General features: G+C 54.6%; 1 protein-coding gene across 3 annotated transcripts in view, besides 6 other annotated features; it reads right to left on the bottom strand.

The window, feature by feature from the left end:
* The window catches only part of NECTIN2 (nectin cell adhesion molecule 2), a 42,927-nt gene extending 36,543 nt beyond the window's left edge, over positions 1-6,384 (bottom strand). For all 3 annotated transcript variants that reach the window (NM_001042724.2, NM_002856.3, XM_047439169.1), the window contains exon 1: positions 6,068-6,384. In NM_001042724.2, the coding sequence (NP_001036189.1) occupies positions 6,068-6,155 (88 nt within the window). In that variant the 5' untranslated portion in view covers positions 6,156-6,384. The remainder of the gene's footprint in view (positions 1-6,067) is intronic.
* Positions 1,311-2,222: an enhancer, noted in NCBI's record as "H3K4me1 hESC enhancer chr19:45353716-45354627 (GRCh37/hg19 assembly coordinates)". NCBI's record gives its function as "activates a minimal SCP1, AML or CMV promoter by ChIP-STARR-seq in naive H9 embryonic stem cells {active_cell/tissue: H9 hESC(naive)}" and the evidence as "EXISTENCE:reporter gene assay evidence [ECO:0000049][PMID:30033119]".
* Positions 3,692-4,674: an enhancer, noted in NCBI's record as "H3K27ac-H3K4me1 hESC enhancer chr19:45351264-45352246 (GRCh37/hg19 assembly coordinates)". NCBI's record gives its function as "activates a minimal SCP1, AML or CMV promoter by ChIP-STARR-seq in naive H9 embryonic stem cells {active_cell/tissue: H9 hESC(naive)}" and the evidence as "EXISTENCE:reporter gene assay evidence [ECO:0000049][PMID:30033119]".
* Positions 6,314-6,413: a silencer, noted in NCBI's record as "silent region_10743". NCBI's record gives its function as "represses an Ori minimal core promoter by ATAC-STARR-seq in GM12878 lymphoblastoid cells {active_cell/tissue: GM12878}" and the evidence as "EXISTENCE:reporter gene assay evidence [ECO:0000049][PMID:35858748]".
* Positions 6,544-6,623: a silencer, noted in NCBI's record as "silent region_10742". NCBI's record gives its function as "represses an Ori minimal core promoter by ATAC-STARR-seq in GM12878 lymphoblastoid cells {active_cell/tissue: GM12878}" and the evidence as "EXISTENCE:reporter gene assay evidence [ECO:0000049][PMID:35858748]".
* Positions 6,704-6,753: a silencer, noted in NCBI's record as "silent region_10741". NCBI's record gives its function as "represses an Ori minimal core promoter by ATAC-STARR-seq in GM12878 lymphoblastoid cells {active_cell/tissue: GM12878}" and the evidence as "EXISTENCE:reporter gene assay evidence [ECO:0000049][PMID:35858748]".
* Positions 7,621-8,020: a silencer, noted in NCBI's record as "silent region_10740". NCBI's record gives its function as "represses an Ori minimal core promoter by ATAC-STARR-seq in GM12878 lymphoblastoid cells {active_cell/tissue: GM12878}" and the evidence as "EXISTENCE:reporter gene assay evidence [ECO:0000049][PMID:35858748]".

The raw sequence follows: 17,775 nt of genomic DNA, 5'->3' as shown, positions 1-17,775 counted from the left end.
CACTGCCACTTCCCACCTGGAGGACTGCAGTTGTCCTTGTGGTTTGTTCCTATGCACAGCTAGAAGGATCCTGCTAGAAAGTGCAGAACACGCCCTCCTCTGCACAGAGCCCTCAGGAAACAAGCCCAAGTCTTTTCTGTTTTTTTTTTTTTTTGAGACGGAGTCTTGCTCTGTCTCGGGCTCCTGCCTCAGCCTCCTGAGTAGCTGGGATTACAGGTGGTGGCTACCATGTCTCAAAAAAAAAACAAAAAAAACAAAAAGAGAAAGAAAAAACCCTCACAGGCTGGGTGCAGTGGCTCACCTGAGCTCAGGAGACCAGCCTGGGCAACACGGTGAGAGCCCGTCTCTACTAAAAATACAAAAATTAGCTGGGCATGGTGGCACCTGCCTGTAATCCCCACTACTTGGGAGGCTGAGGCACAAGAATTGCTTGAACCTGGGAGGCGGAGGTTGCAGTGAGCCAAGATCACACCACTGTACCAGCTTGGAAGACAGAGTGAGAGAGTGAGACACTATTGCCAGCTTGGGCAACAGAGTGAGACTCTTGTCTCAAAAAAAGAAAAAAAAGAAAAAAGAAAGAGCCCTCAGTGGGGCAGGGGTCTCGGGGGGAGGCGCCGGGATCAGGGTCGGGGCTGTGGGGACGGAGGATGGCGAGATTGGAAACACACTCAGAACTTGGAATGGGAAAGCAGGACCAGCGGTGGGGGTGACAGGGAGAAGCTGGGAGGGTTGGGACTTGGAGGCTGACAGGGCTGCGGAGGTAAAGGGGACAGGGGTGAGGGCCGCTGCCCAGACGCTCTGCATGTCAGGTGGAGGCAAGGGAGATACAGCCAGGAGGTTGGTCAGCCTGGAGTGAGCCCCCATCATCCAGCACACTGCTAGGCAGGGGCTGTGCCATGAACTTGGCCAGGACATGGCCAGCACCATAGCCAGGGGACTGTGGCCATGGGAACACCAGCCTCCCTCAGTGTCACTGGGCAAGCCAGACTGGTGACAGCTTCATGAAGTGTGAGCTGGGTCCCCAGACACACTTCCTCTCCCTGTGGACTGCACCTGCAGGCTTCCTGTGGTGGCAGAGTGGAGGCTGCCCAGGGTGTAGTGTGAGCCCATGGGAGAACAATGGGGACAGACACAGCTTGAGACCCCGAGATCCAGGGATGGGTAGACCAAGGCAGCGAGGAGGGTGCAGAGTGACCTATGGAACCCTGGAGGAGAGGTTGGGGGCTTGGACTCCTGGGTCTGAGAAAGGAGGGGGCTGGGGGCCTGGATTCCTGGGTCTGAGGGAGGAGGAGCTGGAGGCCTAGACTCCCAGGTTTGAGGGAGGAAGAGCAGGGGGCCTGGGCTCCTGGGTCTGAGGGAGCAGGGGACTGAGGCTGGACCCCTGGGTCTGAGGGAGGAGGGACTAAGGGCCTGGACTCCTGGGTCTGAGAGGGGAAGGATGGGGGCCTGGACTCCTGGGTCTGAGGGAGGAAGCACTGGTGGCCTGGACTCCTGGGTCTGAGAGAGCAGGGATGGGGGCCTGAACTCCCAGGTCTGAGGGATTAGGGATGGGGGCCTGGACTCCTGGGTCTGAGGGAAGAGGGCTGGGGCCTGGACTCCTGGGTCTGAGGGAGGAGAGGCTGGGGCCTGGGCTTCTGGGTCTGAGGGAGGCGGGGCCTGAAGCTGGACACCTGGGTCTAGGGGAGGAGGAGCTGGGCTCCTGGACTCCTGCCTGGCTGGCTCCCCAGGGCCTGGCTTCCCCCGCAGATCTATAAAGCACAGCGACCCAGCCTCCCATGGCAAGGCACGTCGGGACTAGAGAAGGCCCTTGAAGGCCAGAGGCTTTGAGTACTGGCCTCAGCTGCTGCCTCAGTCACCTTGTCAGTTAATTAATTGTATTAATCACAGTGCCCAACCCCCACAGCGGAAATCCAGGAGCTGGTTCAGGGAGTGAGCAGCGGCTGCAGCAGCCAGGATGTAGGGCTGTCTGTCTGTGCCTGGATTTCTGCACCTGCCCCCTGGCCTCCTCTAATCCGTGTGTTTTGTTTTGTTTTTTTGAGATAGGATCTTGCTTTGTTGCCCAGGGTGGAGTACTGTGGTGTGATCTCAGCTCACTGCAGCCTCAACCTTCCTGGCTCATGTGATCCTCCCACTTCAGCCTTCCAAGTAGCTGGGACTATAGGCACACACCACCACCTTTGGCTAATTTTTAAATTTTTTGCAGAGACAGGGTTTCGCCGTGTTGCCCAGGCTGGTCTCGAACTCCTGAGCTCAAGTGATACACCTGCCTGGACCTCCCAGAATGCTAGGATTATAGGCATGAGTCACCATGCCTGGCTTCTTGAAAGTCTTTTAATGGTATCCCTGCTGTCTCTTAGCGTCTCTTATCTGTGTCTTCCGGGGCCTCTTCTATCTCTCTCTGTGTCTAGTTCTTAGGGTCCCTGTCCCTCTGTGTCTCCAATTCCCAGGGTCTCTCTTGGGGTCTCTGTTACTCTTTTCTCTTTTGAGACAGGGTCTTGCTCTGTGGCCCAGGCTGGAGTGCAGTAGTGCAATCAGGGCTCACTGCAGCCTTGAACTCGGTTCAAACGATTCTCCTGCGTCAGCCTCCCAAAGTGCTGGAATTACTGGTATGAGCCAATGTGCCTGGCCTCTGTCACTCTTATCTGTGTCCCCCAGAGTCTCTGGTCTCTGCTCTGTGCCTCTTATATTCTCTGTCTCTTTGTAACAGCTTTATTGAGACATTATTCCCATACCATACAATCTACCCATTTAAAGTGTACAGTTCAGTGGCTTTTGTATATTCAGAGTTAGCCATCCATCACCCGAGCAATTATAGAACATTTTCATTAGCCTGAGAAGATACCCTGTCCCCGTTAGTCACTCTCTTCCTCTTTCCTCTGTATGTCTGACATCTCCGGTCTCTTTCTCCGTCTGGGTCTCCCTGTGTCTGGAACCTGGCTCTCTGCCTTGATTCCTGGGGTTCTCTTCTCACAAGCCTTCTGGTCTACGTCTCTGTTTCTGTCTCTGACTGTGGAGTCTCCCTGCCTCCTGGGTCTCCAGTGCCCTGTCTCCCCATATTTCTGACACACCTTCTCACAGCCTGGCCCATCTTGCTGGGTCCCCTCTTCTCCTCCCCTTCCTGCTCCATTTGTCAGCACTGCTGGGACATTAAAAATGTAACAGCGTCCCAGGCAGGGGCGGGGGAGCTGGCCCATGTGCCCAGCTCCCTGTCCCTTCTGTGTTCATCACTCCCTGTGGCCCCCACATGTCGCTGGCCTTGAGGCCCCCTGTACCCTGACCTCCGTGGGTCACGGCACCTCTGCTGTCCCACAGCTGGAGTCTTTGGGGCTCCCTGCCTGTCACCAAACCCCTTTCCTTTTCCTGTCCCTGCCTTCATCTGGTATCTATGTCTAGCTCCCTTCCCCCACCCTCCTCCGTCCCATTCCAGTGTCTTTCAGCCTCATCCCTGTGTCGGTATTTCACTCCCCCGACCCTGTGCCGGCATTTCACTCCCCTTCTATCCTCTGATTCCATTCCTACACGTGTCTCTGACCCCATTCCTAAATCTGTGTCTGACCGCTTCCCTCTATTGGCCTCTGTACCCATCCTTGTAGCTCCAGCCTCTCTATATACCCACCCCCCAACTTCTCCTCTGCCCAGTCCCCCTTCCCTAATGAGAGGAGACAGCCAGGCTGCCGTCCCTCTGCTCCCCTCCCCCTCCACTACGTGGGGCTGCCTGGCGGACATGGACACACGGATGGGCAGGGAAGAAAGCTGGGGGAGGGGAGCCGGCCCAGCTGGGGGCCCAGGTGGTGCACCCGCATTCCCCGAGGAGGCCAAGCGGGGGAGGCAGTGGAGCTAGACAGGTATACAGAGAAAGACGGAGAGGAGAGAGAGAGATGGGGAGAGGAGAAGAGAGAAAGAGCTTGGAGAGGGATGGAGAGAGAAAGGGTGAGAAACGAAGAGAGATGAAGAGGGGGAAAGAAAGTGAGGGAAGGAGGAAAACAGGGAGGGGGAGGGGAGAGAGAGAGAGAGGGAGAGCGAGCACATGCCAGCCGGCCAGCCAGTGGACAGCAGAGGCGAAGGATTGGGGTGGGGGTGGTCAAGAAAGGGGCCGACAGCTCCTTCTCCAGGGGCTAAGAGGTTTCACAGGGAATCAGTGGGGCCTGGGAGCCTTCCGGATGGTCCGCAGGGAAAGGATTGTTATCTCAGTTTTTTTACGAGGGAGGAAATGGAAACTCAGAGGCACTTCCTGGAGCCCACCCGGTGCGGGGCTCTGAAGAACCGGAGCCCGGCTTCCCCGGGACCTGCTGTGAGACCTTGAGAAGGCTGCTTGCCTTTGCTGAGCCTGTTTCCTCATCTCTAAGATGGAAACAGAAACAGGACCTGTTTCCCAGGGCAAGCTGGAGCCTTCGGTGAGATCATGCACCAAGCTAACAGTAGGCTCAGGGTCTGGTGGGTTCGGAGAATTCACCCAGAGGTGCCAGTTCTGATCTCATCTGCCTATTTCTGCCTGAAGGGAGAGGCAGGGGATGGAAGCGGAGTTCCCAGCTCTGGGTCAAAGCTGGGAGGCCAGTGAGAGCCATCCTGGGGGAAATGAGGCCAGAGAGGTGGCCGGGGTTCCCCCAAGATCCCCCTGAGCTCTCTTCTGCGCAAACCCTCGGGAAACTCTAGCATCCCAGAGTTTGTCGCTGGGAATACACAACCGGGTCACCTGCAAGGGGCGGGGCCAGCGCCTCTTTCAAGGGTTCCCTCCCAGCCCCTCCCTCCCCAGGGGGGCCGCTCTCCTCCCCTAGTGGGGTGGATGGAAGGACGCCAGGGGGTCCAAGGCATAGCAATGGGAGGGACGGGGGATAAGGGCGGCGGCTCCACTCGTCCACCTCCTGCTATGGCTCTGAGGACAAAGGCGCTACCAGAGGATAGATAAGGTCCCGAAACCGGGGAGTCCGGAACCCGGAGCCAGGAGCGCCCGCCCCGCCCCTCCCTGGCTCGGCGAGAGTGAAACCAGGAAAACTTCCCCGGCGACGTCTCCGTCGCCCCCGACCATTCATAGGGAAAGGGAGGAGTCTCCCAGCCTCTGGGACTCGGGGCCTCCCGTTCTATCTGGGACTCAGGCGACTGAGACTCCAGCCTCAAGACAGAGCCTTCGACCCTTGATCATATCTGGAGCCCAAGAGACGGGGCCCGCTGCTCGCACTTCTGTTTGGATCTCAGAAGACGTTCCTCTGCCTACAATTAAGTCTGAAGCCCACGAGATCGAGTCTCCTGTCCCCCGGTTCTGCCGGGAACCCTGAAAACGAAGCCCCCTGCCCACAATTAAATCCAGAAGCTACAAGTTTGATCCTCTCTCGCCCCCAGTTTTACCTAGATCCCAGTTAGACTTAGCGCCTAGCCTCCATTCTACCAGGGACCCTGAAGACGGAGCCCCCGGCCCCTAATTTTTCTGGAGTCCACGGAGTCAGAACCCCCAACTCCCTGAGGTTCGGGGTTGGAGCTCCGAGCTCAGGCCCTTCCCCCTAAGTCGCCAGAACTCTTATCCTTAGCCCTCCAAGGGACCCGAATCAGGTCCGCTTGTCCTCAGTTCTCTCCGGGCCTCAGACGCCCAAGCCGGGAAGAAGGAAAAATAGGGGAGGGAGGTGGTCTCGCCTCTTCCTCGAGACCTTACTGCGGTAGGTGGGGGGAACATTCCCCACATTCCTGAGAGGGGTAGAGGAGACAGAGACCCAGATCCGGGTGAACTACTCGGCGCGGGGTGGGGAGGGGGCACCAGGCCTTCCTGGGATTTAACCCTTTCGGCGCGGGAATCCGAGAAATGGGGAGGGGGACAGACAAGCAGGCGTAGGATGGGCAATTGGATTAAGAAGGATGGGGGTGGTGGTGAGAGAGATGCAGAAAGGAGGGGTCAGAGTCTCCTCGAGAGAATCGGACGTGTAGGGGGTCGGAGTCTGTGGGGCCAGCCAGGAAGGGGGCACGCGAGAGGGGGCTCGGGGAGCCGGGGGTGGGCGGGGAAGGTGCTCGGCTTCCCCAGCTCGGAAGGTAAGGTTGGAGGGGGTCCGCGCGAGGGCAGGGGGCCGTCCGCTCGTCTCACCGGTTTCCAGGAGCAGCAGCAGCAGCAGCGGCCACAGCAGCGGCGTCGGCGGCGATCTCGACGGCAGGAGGGCAGCGGCCCGGGCCATGGAGGGCCCGGGAGGGGACTGGGCCCGGCCGGAGGCCCGCGGGCCACTCTGTGGGGGCCGATCGGCTGGGCGGTTTAGTAGGTGCCTGTGGGGCTCCGGCTCCGGCTCCGGGCCGGTTCCCGCTGCGCTCTAGCCTCCCTGTTCTGCTCTCCCGGCCCAGCTCTCCCCGCCCGGCTCGGCACCCCCGGCCTCTCGCTCAGCTCCGGCGGTTCGAACCCGCTGACGTCACAGGATCCACCCGCTGCTCCCCCGAGTCAAGCCGACCCTGGCTCCGGCCCCGCCCCCTCCTGGCGTTCTGACCCCGCCCCCCGGATTCCACCCCTGTTCCTCCCCGGGATTCCATTCTCGCTCCTCCCCAGGATTCTAAGGTCGCCCCTGCCAAAGAATTCTGTCTCCTTCGCTCCCGGCGTTAAACCACGCCCCCTAAGGTCTAGCCACGCCCCCTCTGCTCCCGAGTAGTTCCCACGCCCCGCCCCCTGCCTACCGGCCGCCTCGCCAAGGTCTTGCCACGCCCCTTTCGGCCCTTCCGGCCGACTCCGCCCCCACCAGCCCCGCCTCCACCAGCCCCGCCCCTCGCCCTAGCCGGAGTTCTCTCGGTCTCTTAGCTCAGTCCGTCCTGGCCTCTGTCCCACCCACAGTTCGAATCCTGCCCTTTCCTGCCTGCCCGGGTCCTCTCATCACAGTTGCCTGAGGCACGTGGGGCTTTACGGTTCTGCCCCCAGCACGTCCCGGTTGTGCGACCTCCCCGCAGGTCGAGCCCATCGCCCTGAGCCTGTTTCTCGTACCCTCGTGCGTTTCTAATCTCTGCCCCGAACTCTAGGTGTCGCTGCACTCGTTTCTTTCTGGATTTCTCTGTCTCTCTTACGTGTCTTTGTGTCTCTCTCACTCTCTTTGGGTCTTCCTCTCTGTCCCTGTATTTCTGCCTCTCTGGGTCTTTCCGTCCTCATGCTTCGGTGTCGCTCTGTTTCTGGTCTTCCTTTGTCAGTCACTGTTTCTTTATTTCAATAAAAGAGACGGGGCGGGGGGGCGGCGGGGTCTCACTATGTTGCTGAGGCTGGCCTCAAGCGATCCTCCCGGCTCGGCCTCCCAAGATGCTGGGATTACAGGCGTGAGCCACCAAGCCCGGCCTGTCTGTCACTGTTTCTGGGTCACTTGGTCCCCATGTCTCTTTCCATCCTTTGACTCTGTCTCTGTGTCTCTCTGTCTCTATCTGTGTGCCTCTCTGTCTCTGTCTCTATTTCTGTGTATCTCTGTCTCTATCGGCCTGTCTCTGTGCCTCTCTGTCTCTGTGTGCCTCTCTGTCTCTGTGTTTCTCTGTCTCTATCTCTGTGCCTCTCTATCTCTGTGCTTCTCTGTCTCTGTCTCTCCGTGTGTCTCTCTCTGTCTCTATCTGTGTCTCTCTGTCCCTGTCTCTTTCTCTGTGTCTCCCTCTCGGCGTCTCTTGTCTCTGCGTGCGAGTCTCTCTCGCTGTCTCTCTGTCCCTGCTCTGTTCTCTGCTTCCTTCCCTCCCTACCTCCCTGCGCGCCCTGGTCCTCCCCTCCCAACACCTGCTCCGCGCCGCCTTCTCACCGCAGCCACCCGCCAGGGGGCAGCAGAGACCGGCCCCCGCGCTGCGCTGGCCCGGCCGGGCTGGGTGGGGCTGGGCTCCAGTCCGGCCTCCGGACCTGGTCACTCCCCGCGTCCTTGTCCCACTTCCCCTATCTCCCCAGCCTCCTCGCGTCTTTGTGTCTCTCGCTCAGACTCGGGCCCTTTGTCTCTCCCAGCGGCTCGCCCTCCTCCCTACCCCCACCTACCTCTTCGCATTCTTTGGGCTGCCCAGGGGGAGCTGGTGAGGCCGCGCCGGGGGGCGGGATGAGGGCGCGAAGCGGGAGGCCGGGGGAGGGGGTGCCACGGAGCGCCAGTCTGGGCCCAAGTTCGTCCAGGGCCAGGAGGCGCGGAGCTGCTCAGCTGGGGGCAGGTGCTTGGGGGCTTCTTGCCCTAGCAAGAGGACCACCTAGGCTCGCCCTCCCTTCCACCTGCCACACACCTGGGCTTTCCTCCCCAGAAGGACTAGGTTTCAAGTAGCAGAGGCTGTTATCCCTCCGCATTCGAGTCTTAGTTATGATCCTTTTTTTTTTTTTTTCTTTGAGACGGAGTCTCGCTCTGTCGCCCAGGCTGGAGGGCAGTGGCGCGATCTCGGCTCACTGCAACCTCTGCCTCCTGGGTTCAAGCGATTCTCCTGAGTCAGCCTCCTGAGTAGCTGGGATTACAGGCGCGCGCCACCACGCCCGGCTAATTTTTGTATTTTTAGTAGAGACGGGGTTTCACCATGTTGGTCAGGCTGGTCTCAAACTCCTGACCTCCTGATCCACCCGCTTCAGCCTCCCAAAATGCTGGGATTGCAGGTGTGAGCCACCGCGCCCGGCACTTACGATACTGTTAATACATGTAGTCAGCACTTACCGTGTGCCAGGCACTGATCTAAGTGCACTGCGAATATTATCTCATGTAAGCCATGCAGCGCCATGGGCGATAGGGAAACTGAAGCAGAGAGATGAAGTGACTCACTGAGTTACAAAATGGCAGAGCCAGGGCGGGGCGCCCTGGCTGACGCCTGTAATCCCAGCACTTTGGGAGGCTGAGGCGGGTGGATCACTTGAGTTCAGGAGTTCGAGACCAGCCTGGCCGACATGGTGAAACCCTGTCTCTACTTGGGAGGCTGAGGCAGGAGAATCGCTTGAACCCGGGAGTTGGAGGTTGCAGTGAGCCGAGATCGCACCACTGCACTCCAGCCTGGGCAACAGAGTGAGACTCAGTCTGAAAAACATAAAATAAAATAGAAATTAAAAATAAATAAAAATAAACAAAATGGCAGAGCCAGAGCTGACTCTTCTAAGCACCTTATTTCTCTTAGTTAGTTCCTCACAGGGATCCCATGAAGGGGACACCATGGTGATCCCCATTTCACTGAAAAGTAAACTGAGGCACAGGGTGGTTGTTTGCCCCAAGCCACCCAGCAAAGACACATAGCAGGCCGGGTGCTTCTTTTGGGCCCGGATGGTCTGTGCTCTTTTTGTTTTTGAGACGGAGTCTGGCTCTGTTGCCAAGGCTGGAGTGCAGTGGCGCAATCAATCTCGGCTCGCTGCAACCTCCGCCCCCCAGGTTTGAGTGATTCTCCTGCCTCAGCCTCCTGAGTAGCTGGGATTACAGGCACGCACCACCACGCCCGGCTAATTTTTGTATTTTTAGTAGTGACGGGCTTTCACCATGTTGGTCAGGCTGGTCTCGAACTCCTGACCTTGTGATCTGCCTGCATTAGCCTCCCAAAGTGCTGGGATTACAGGGGTGAGCTACTGCACCCGGCCAGTCTGTGCTTTTAACCTCCATGCCATGTGAGCTCCAGATAGCTTGTGTCTCAGGCTTGGCACAAACTGGGTGTGAGGATGGCTGGACAAATAGGCGCACACATAATAAATGCATAGCAGCTACAGCTACTCGGGAGGCCGAGGTGGGAGGATCACCTGAGCCCAGGGAGGTTGAGGCTGCAGTGAGCTGTGATTGAGCCACTGCACTCCAGCCTGGGAGACAGAGAGATTTTGTCTCTAAAATAAATAAATACACAAATAGGCCTTGCGCAGTGGCTCATGTCTGCAATCCCAGCACTTTGGGAGGCCAAGGCTGGCAGATCACTTGAATTTAGGGGTTCAAGACACGCCTGGCAACATGGTAGAGCCCCGTCTCTTAAAATATATATAATAATAAAATAAAACAGTAAAATAAATAAATGTGCTTAATTTATTTATGTATTTAATTTTGAGGCAGGGTTGTGCTTTGTCGCCCAGGTTGGAGTGCAGATCTTGGCTCCCTCTAACCTCAAACTTCCCAGCCCAAGGGATCCTCTGCCTCAGCCTCCTGAGTAGCTGGGACTACAGGCATGTGCCACTATGCTCGGTGCATTTTTTTTTTTTGAGACAGTCTCTGCTCTGTCGCCCAGGCTGGAGTGCAGTGGCGCGATCTTGGCTCAGTGCAAGCTCCGCCTCCCAGGTTCATGCCATTCTCCTGCCTCAGCCTCTCGAGTAGCTGGGACTACAGGTGCCTGCCACCACGCCCAGCTGATTTTTTGTATTTTTAGTAGAGACGAGGTTTCATGGTCTTAGCCAGGATGGTCTCGATCTCCTGACCTCGTGCTCCACCTGCCTCGGCCTCCCAAAGTGCTGGGATTACAGGCGTGAGCCACTGTGCCCGGCTGCTCGGTGCATTTTTAAATGTTTTGTAGAATTTGATTCTCGCTTTGTTGCCCAGGCTGGTCTTGAACTCCTGCCCTCAAGTGATCCTCTCACCTCAGCCTCCCAAAGTGCTGGGATTACAGGTGTGAGCCATCGCGCCTGGCAATAAATGTGCTTTAGATCTCTCTGACCTTCTCTCCCCAATCTGAGGCCAGGTTTGTGGACCAGGACCTCTGGGTTTTAGTGCCAGCCTTGCTACTAACTTGCTTTGCAAAATCCTGGGACCCCCGTTTATCCATTGAACAAAAGAACCAGTCCCCAGGAAGTCTTCTTCTAGGAAGGCCTCTAGCACCTCCTTTCTCCTGGCCTACGAATGAGTGGGCTTAGCTCTCTCCTGGCTGTTCTTTGTGAGCAGGGATGAGCCCAGGAAGAAAGCCCCAGGAGGCTGGCCATGGTGGCTCAAGCCTGTAATCCCAGTACTTTGGGAGGCCGAGACAGATGGATCACCTGAGGTCAGGAGTTTGAGACCAGCTTGGCCTACGTGGTGAAACCCTGTCTCTACTGAAAATACAAAAATTAGCAGGATGTGGTGGCGGGTGCCTATAATCCCAGCTACTTGGGAGACTGAAGCCGGAGAATCGCTTGAACCCGGGAGGTGGAGGTTGCAGTGAGCCAAGATTGTGCCACTGCACTCCAGCCTGGGTGACAGCAAGGCTCTGCCAAAAAAAAAAGGAAAAAAAAAAAAAGAAAGAAAAAAATGCCCCAGAGGTGTAGGCTGGAGTTTCACACCCTTGGGTCACAAGCATGAGGCTGAGCACCAAGTTTGGTGACAAATGACTGGGTGGGTTCCACGCCCGCCTGGGGAGTTGACTTTTAGTGTCAAGGAGTCCCAGAGGTGGCACTTCACTGAAGAGCCATAACCACTAGAAGGTAGGGGCATAGGTAGGGGCAAAGGCTTCCTGACGGAGCTATGGAGCTGATGCCAAGTATTTTACCTGCCTGGCAACCTTTCCTTTCTTTTAGCAGCAGCAGCAGCTCCCCTAACCACTTCCTCCCCTCAGTCTTTTTTTTTTTTTTTTAATTAAGACAGGGTCTCACTCTGTCGCTCAGGCTGGAGTGTGGTGACATTACCATGGCTCACTGCAGCCATGACCTCCCTGGCTCGGGATCCTTCCATGTCAACTTCCCGAGTAGCTGGGACTACAGGCATGTGCCACTATGCTTGGCTAATTTTTCTATTTTTTTGTAGAGATGGGTTTTTGGGTTGTTGCCGAGGCTGGTCTTGAACTCTTGGGCTCAAGCAATTTGCCTGCCTCGGCCTCCCAGAGTGCTGGAATCACAAACGTGAGCCACCATACCCGGCTCTTATTCTGAGACAGGGTCATGCTCTGTTGGCCAGACTGGAGTGCAGTGGTACAATCATGGCTCATTGAAGCTTCCACCTCTCAGGCTCAAGCAATCCTCCCACTTCAGCCTCCCAAGTGGCTGGGACTATAGGCATTCGCCACTGTGCCAGAATAATCTTTTTTTTTTTTTTTGAAACGGAGTCTTGCTCTGTTGCCCAGGCTGGAGTGCAGTGGAGCGATCTTGGCTCACTGCAAGCTCTGCCTCCTGGGTTCACGCCGTTCTCCTGCCTCAGCCTCCCGAGTAGCTGGGACTACAGGCGCCCGCCACCATGCCCAGCTAATTTCTTGTATTTTTAGTAGAGATGGGGTTTCACCTTGTTAGCCAGGATGGTCTCAATCTCCTGACCTTGTGATCTGCCCGCCTCGGACTCCCAAAGTGCTGGGATTACAGGCGTGAGCCACCGCACCCGGCCAATCTTTTTTTTTTTTTTTTTTTTTCTGATACGGAGTGTCAGTCTGTTGCCCAGGCTGGAATGCAGTGGTGTGATTTTGGCTCACTGCAACCTCTGCCCCCTGGGTTCAAGTGATTCTCCTGCCTCAGCCTCCCAAGTAGCTGGGACTACAGGTTTGGGCCACGACGCCTGGCTATGTTCGCAGTTTTATTAGAGACGGGGTTTCACAATATTACCAGGCTGGTCTTGAACTCCTGACCTAAAGTGGTCTGCCCTCCTCTGCCTCCCAAAGTGCTGGGATTACAGTCGTGAGCCACCGTGCTCGGCCTGCCAGACTCATCTTTTGACTTTTTTGTAGAGACAGGCTCTCACTAGGTTGCTCAGGCTGGTCTTGAACTCCTAGGCTCAAGCAATTTTCCTGCCTTGGCCTCCCAAACTGCTGGGATTACAAGCATGAGACATGACTCCTGGTATACATATATATATATATGAGACTATATATATATGTATAGACTATATATATATATATATGTATGAGACTATGTGTGTGTGTGTGTGTGTGTGTGTGTGTGTGTGTATATATATATATATATATATATATATATATATATATATATATAGTCATTTGCAATCAAATATAACCTTACTAATAAACTATATACCCCAAAAAATCTGTACATGTCTGGGAGATGCACAGAGCTTTGTAAATTTCCAAGGGCAGGGCAAGGAGGGGCTGGTGGTGAAAGCTTTCAGAATTCTTCAGGATGTCCAGGCTTTGAAGAATAGGCAAGCTTTGTCACAGCACGGGATATGGGGAAGGGCATTCCAGGTAGGAGGGTGGTGACAGCGGGAGCAGGGGATGTGAGGGTCAGTATCTTAGAAGGTCCAGAATGCCAGCTGAAGGGCGGCTCATGCTCTGGGAACCACAGAAGGTTAAAGAGCAAGGGTAGTTTACTACCAACTTCTCTTTACTTCCTGGAGCCCCAGATCCTGAGGTTCACCCCTCCCACTTTCCTATTGCCCTAGGCCTTTGTAATGTAGGCTGGAGTTTCAACCCTTGGGAGGAGGGGTCATACTGATGTGGCCCCAGGCTGCCATCTCTATGCAAATTCCCTGGGATGCCATGCAGATGAGGGACCTTATGCAAATGTATTCCCTCCTGGTGGGGCAGGCTGGGATCCTCCACTCATTAACTTGGGGACCAGGTACTGGATGGAGAACCCTTTCCTCTTCTCTTTCCCTTCCCACTAGCCATCTGTTCACTCGCCATCCAACTCACCAAACCCCAACACCAATGTCTGCCTTTAGAGTGGTATCTCTGTATCTGGTCCCTGCCCTGGACTAAGGGAGTGTTTGTATTTTATTTATTTTATTTTATTATATTTTATTTTACTTTTGAGATGGAGTCTCGCTCTGTTGCCCAGGCTAGAGTGCAGTGGCGCGATCTCGGCTCACTGCAAGCTCCGCCTCCCGGGTTCACGCCATTCTCCTGCCTCAGCCTCCCGAGTAGCTGGGACTACAGGCGTCTGCCACCATGCTGGCTAATATTTTGTATTTTTAGTAGAGACAGGGTTTCACCGTGTTAGCCAGGATGGTCTCGATCTCCTGACCTCGTGATCCGCCCGCCTGGCCTCCCAAAGTGTTGGGATTACAGGCGTGAGCCACTGCGCCCAGCCTATTTGTTTATTTATTTATTTATTTTTGAGACGAAGTCTCGCTCTTGTCCCCCCAGGCTAGCGTACAATGGTGTGATCTCGGCTCACTGCAACCTCCGCCTCCCGGGTTCAAGCGATTCTCCTGCCTGAGCCTCCCGAGTAGCTGGGATTACAGGTGCCTGCCACCACGCCCAGCTAATTTTTGTATTTTTAGTAGAGACGGGGTTTCTACTAAATCATGTTTGCCAGGCTGGTCTCGAACCCCTCACCTCAGGTGATCTGCCTGCCTCGGCCTCCCAAAGTTCTGGGATTACAGGCGTGAGCCACCGCACCTGGCCTTTATTTTTTTTTTTTTGAGACAGAGTGTCGCCCTGTCACCCAGGCTGGAGTGCAGTGGTGTGATCTCGGCTCGCTGCCACCTCCGCCTCCTGGGTTCAAGTGATCCTTGTGTCTCAGCCTCCTGAGTAGCTGGGATTACAGGCGCGTGCCACCATGCCCAGCTAATTTTTGTCTTTTTTTTTTTGTAGAGACAAGGTTTCACCATGTTGGCCAGGCTGGTCTCGAACTCATGACTTCAGGTGATCTGCCTGCCTCGGCCTCCCAAAGTGCTGGGATTACAGGTGTGAGCCACCGCACCTGGCCTAAGGCAACCTTTTTGCTTTTCTCTGTGTCTCTTTATTTTTCCTTAGATAATCACAATAATTAACATGTACTGCACATGGACTCTGTGCCAGGCTTTGTACTAAATACTTCCCTGGTTATCTCATCAAATTCTCCCCTCCATCCTCTGATCCTCTGTGTGCATTTGCTGTATTTTTTTAAAGGGAATTTTCAATTCTGTTATATAGGGAACAAGAGCCCTATAAATAAGGACACAGACAGGTGAAATGAAGGATGGATATTAAGAAGCAACTCAAGCCGGGCGTGGTGGCTCACACCTGTAATCCCAGCACTTTGGGAGGCTGAGGCAGGCGGATCATGAGGTCAGGAGATCGAGACCATCCTGGCGAACACGGTGAAATCTTGTCTCTACTAAAAATACAAAAAATTAGCCAGGCGTGGTGGCACCCGCCGGTAATCCCAGCTACTCGGAAGGCTGAGGCAGGAGAATCAGTTGAACCCGGGAGGCGGAGGTTGCAGTGAGCTGAGATCGCGCCACTGCACTCCAGCCTGGGCAACTGAGCAAGACTCCGTCTCAAAAAAAAAAAAAAAGCAACTCATGAGACCTGTTAGACATACTAAGAATGTGAGCTGAACACAGATGGGAGGGATGCAGGGATCCAGTAAGCTCCAAGCATTCATGCGTCCTGTGGGCGACACCCACTCTGCTCCATGAGTCCCAAGCCCAAGACACAGGTAAAAGCTGTGGCTGCCAAGCAGGTGATCAGCCAGCTACAGTCATCTAGCTTCTCATGTTTATTTTTGTTGTTGTTTTGAGACGGAGTCTCGCCCTGTTGCCCAGGCTGGAGTGCAGTGGCGTGATCTTGGCTCACTGCAAACTCCGCCTCCCGGGTTCAAGTGATTCTCATGCCTCAGCATCCCCAGTAGCTAGCATTACAGGTGTGCCCCCCTACCCCTGGCTAATTTTTGTATTTTTAGTAGAGATGGGGTTTCACCATGTTGGCCAGGCTGGTTGAGAACTCCTGACCTCAAGTGATCTGCTTGCCTCGACCTCCCAAAGTGCTGGGACTACTGTTATTTTATTTTTTGAGACAGGATCTCGCTCTGTTGCCCTGGCTGGAATGCAGTGGCTGGATCACGGCTCACTGCAGCCTCAGCCTCCCAGGCTCAAGGGATCCCCCTACCTCAGCCTCCCGAGTAGCTGGGACTACAGGCGTGTACCGCCACATCAGGCTAATTTTTGCATTTTTTGTAGAGACAGAGTCTCTGTTTGTTGCCAGGGCTGGTCTCGAACTCCTGGGCTCAAGTGATCCTCCTGCCTTGGCCTTCCAAAGTGCTGGGATTACAGGCCTGAGCCACAGCGCCCAGCCTGTTTTATTTTTTGAGTTTTGCACAACATCTTTTGTTTTAATCAAATCTCTTTGTTTTACTCCCATAGATTTGGCTTCAAAATTGAAGATCTAGATTCCATGTCCAGAGAAAGAGAGAACCTGATGAGTCTTGAGAACAAGACCAGGGACAAGATCTCTGAGCTGGAGTTCAAGGTCAACAGCCCACTTTGGTTAACAAGAGGCACCTCCTGGCTGTCCAGTGCTTCCTCGTGGAGGAGTCAACTGCTTCTCTTGGGAGGTGGAGGGTGTTCCCATCCAAGTGCCTCCTCAGGCCCTAGAGAGTCAGGGATTGGTTGCAGTTCCTGAAGTCTCTTCCTAGGTCTGTGGACCTTCTAAGGAATTCCACTGACCACTTTCCCCACTGGAGTCCAGCAACACCATTAGGATGTGAATTATTATTATTATTATTATGTCTTGGAGACAGGATCTTGCTCTGTCTCCCAGCCTGGAGTACAGTAATGCCATCATAGCTCGCTGCAGCTTTGACTTTCTGGACTTGAGCGATCCTCCCACTCTGAGTAGTGGGGACTGCAGGTGTGTGCCACCATGTTTGGCTAATTTAAAAATTTTTTTGTAGAGATGGGATCTTGCTGTGTTGCCCAGGCTGGTCTTGAATTCCTGACCTCAAGTGATTTTCCCGCCTTGAGCTCCCAAAGTGCTGGGATTACAGGCGTGAGCCACTGTGCCTGGTGGGTTGTGAAGTTTGTTCATTGATGTCTCCCCAGTGCCTGGCACACAGTAAACACTCAATACACTTTTTATTTTTTTGAGACGGAGTCTCGCTCTGTTACCCAGGCTGGAGTGTAGTGACTCGATCTCAGCTCACTGCAACCTCCGCCTCCAAGTTTCAAGTGATTCTCCTGCCTCAGCCTCCCGAGTAGCTGTGACTACAGGCATGCACCACAATGCCAGGCTAATTTTTGTATTTTTAGTAGAGATGGGGTTTCACCATGTTAGCCAGGCTGGTCTCGAACTCTTGACCTCAGGTGATCAGCCAGCCTTGGCTTCCCAAACTGTTGGGATTACAGGCGCGAGCCACCACGCCCTCTGAACTTTTCTTGAAGGTATGATTGCGTGAATGGAGGAATGAATCCTCAGGTGTGTTTTGCCAGGGGCTGGCCAGGCATGGCTTTCCCAGTAGGTGCTCTATTGCATTGGAAAGGTGGAACAGGCTTGACTTCCATGTTTGTGAATATAAACTGGCCTCTTAGGTCTTTCTTTCCTCCAGTCTTTCCTCCTCAGGCATAGATGGTAAACAAAATGTCACCAACCTCACCAGCAAAGTGCTCATTTCCCTGGGGCCAGAACATGATGTACACAGACACAAATTTAGCATATTTGATATCATGATATCATGCCCACCTGGTGGGGTCAGCTGGGTGGGCTGCCCACCTGGGCCCCAAACCTCTCTCGCACTCTTCCTGGGAATCTATCCTTTTGCTGAGACTGCAGGCTATGCCTCTTGGAGGTGGTAAACAGAACTTCAAGGGGCAGAGACAGGTACATGAGGCACCACACAGACCCACTGACCCAGTCTGGCTCCAGGGTTAAACAGATCTTGAGACAATGAAAATAAACTTAGCAATAATCAAAGCTTTAAAGTAAAAGCTTCTATATATATGTGTGTGTGTGTGCGCGTGTATATACACATATATATGTATGTATTTATTTATACATATATAAATATATATGCGTGTATATATGTACATATAAATATATAAAATTAAAGAGATGTGGGAGGCCGGGCGCGGTGGCTTACACCTGTAATCCCAGCACTTTGGGAGGCCGAGGCGGGTGGATCACAAGGTGAGGAGATCGAGACCATCCTGGCTGACACGGTGAAACTCCGTCTCTACTAAAAATATAAAAAATTAGCCAGGCGTGGTGACGGGTGCCTGTAGTCCCAGCTACTTGGGAGGCTGAGGCAGGAGAATAGCGTGAACCCGGGAG

This window comes from Homo sapiens, chromosome 19, assembly GCF_000001405.40.
Source record: "Homo sapiens chromosome 19, GRCh38.p14 Primary Assembly".
NCBI classification, from domain to species: Eukaryota; Metazoa; Chordata; class Mammalia; order Primates; family Hominidae; genus Homo; species Homo sapiens.
This window is presented reverse-complemented; position numbering and strand designations above follow the sequence as displayed.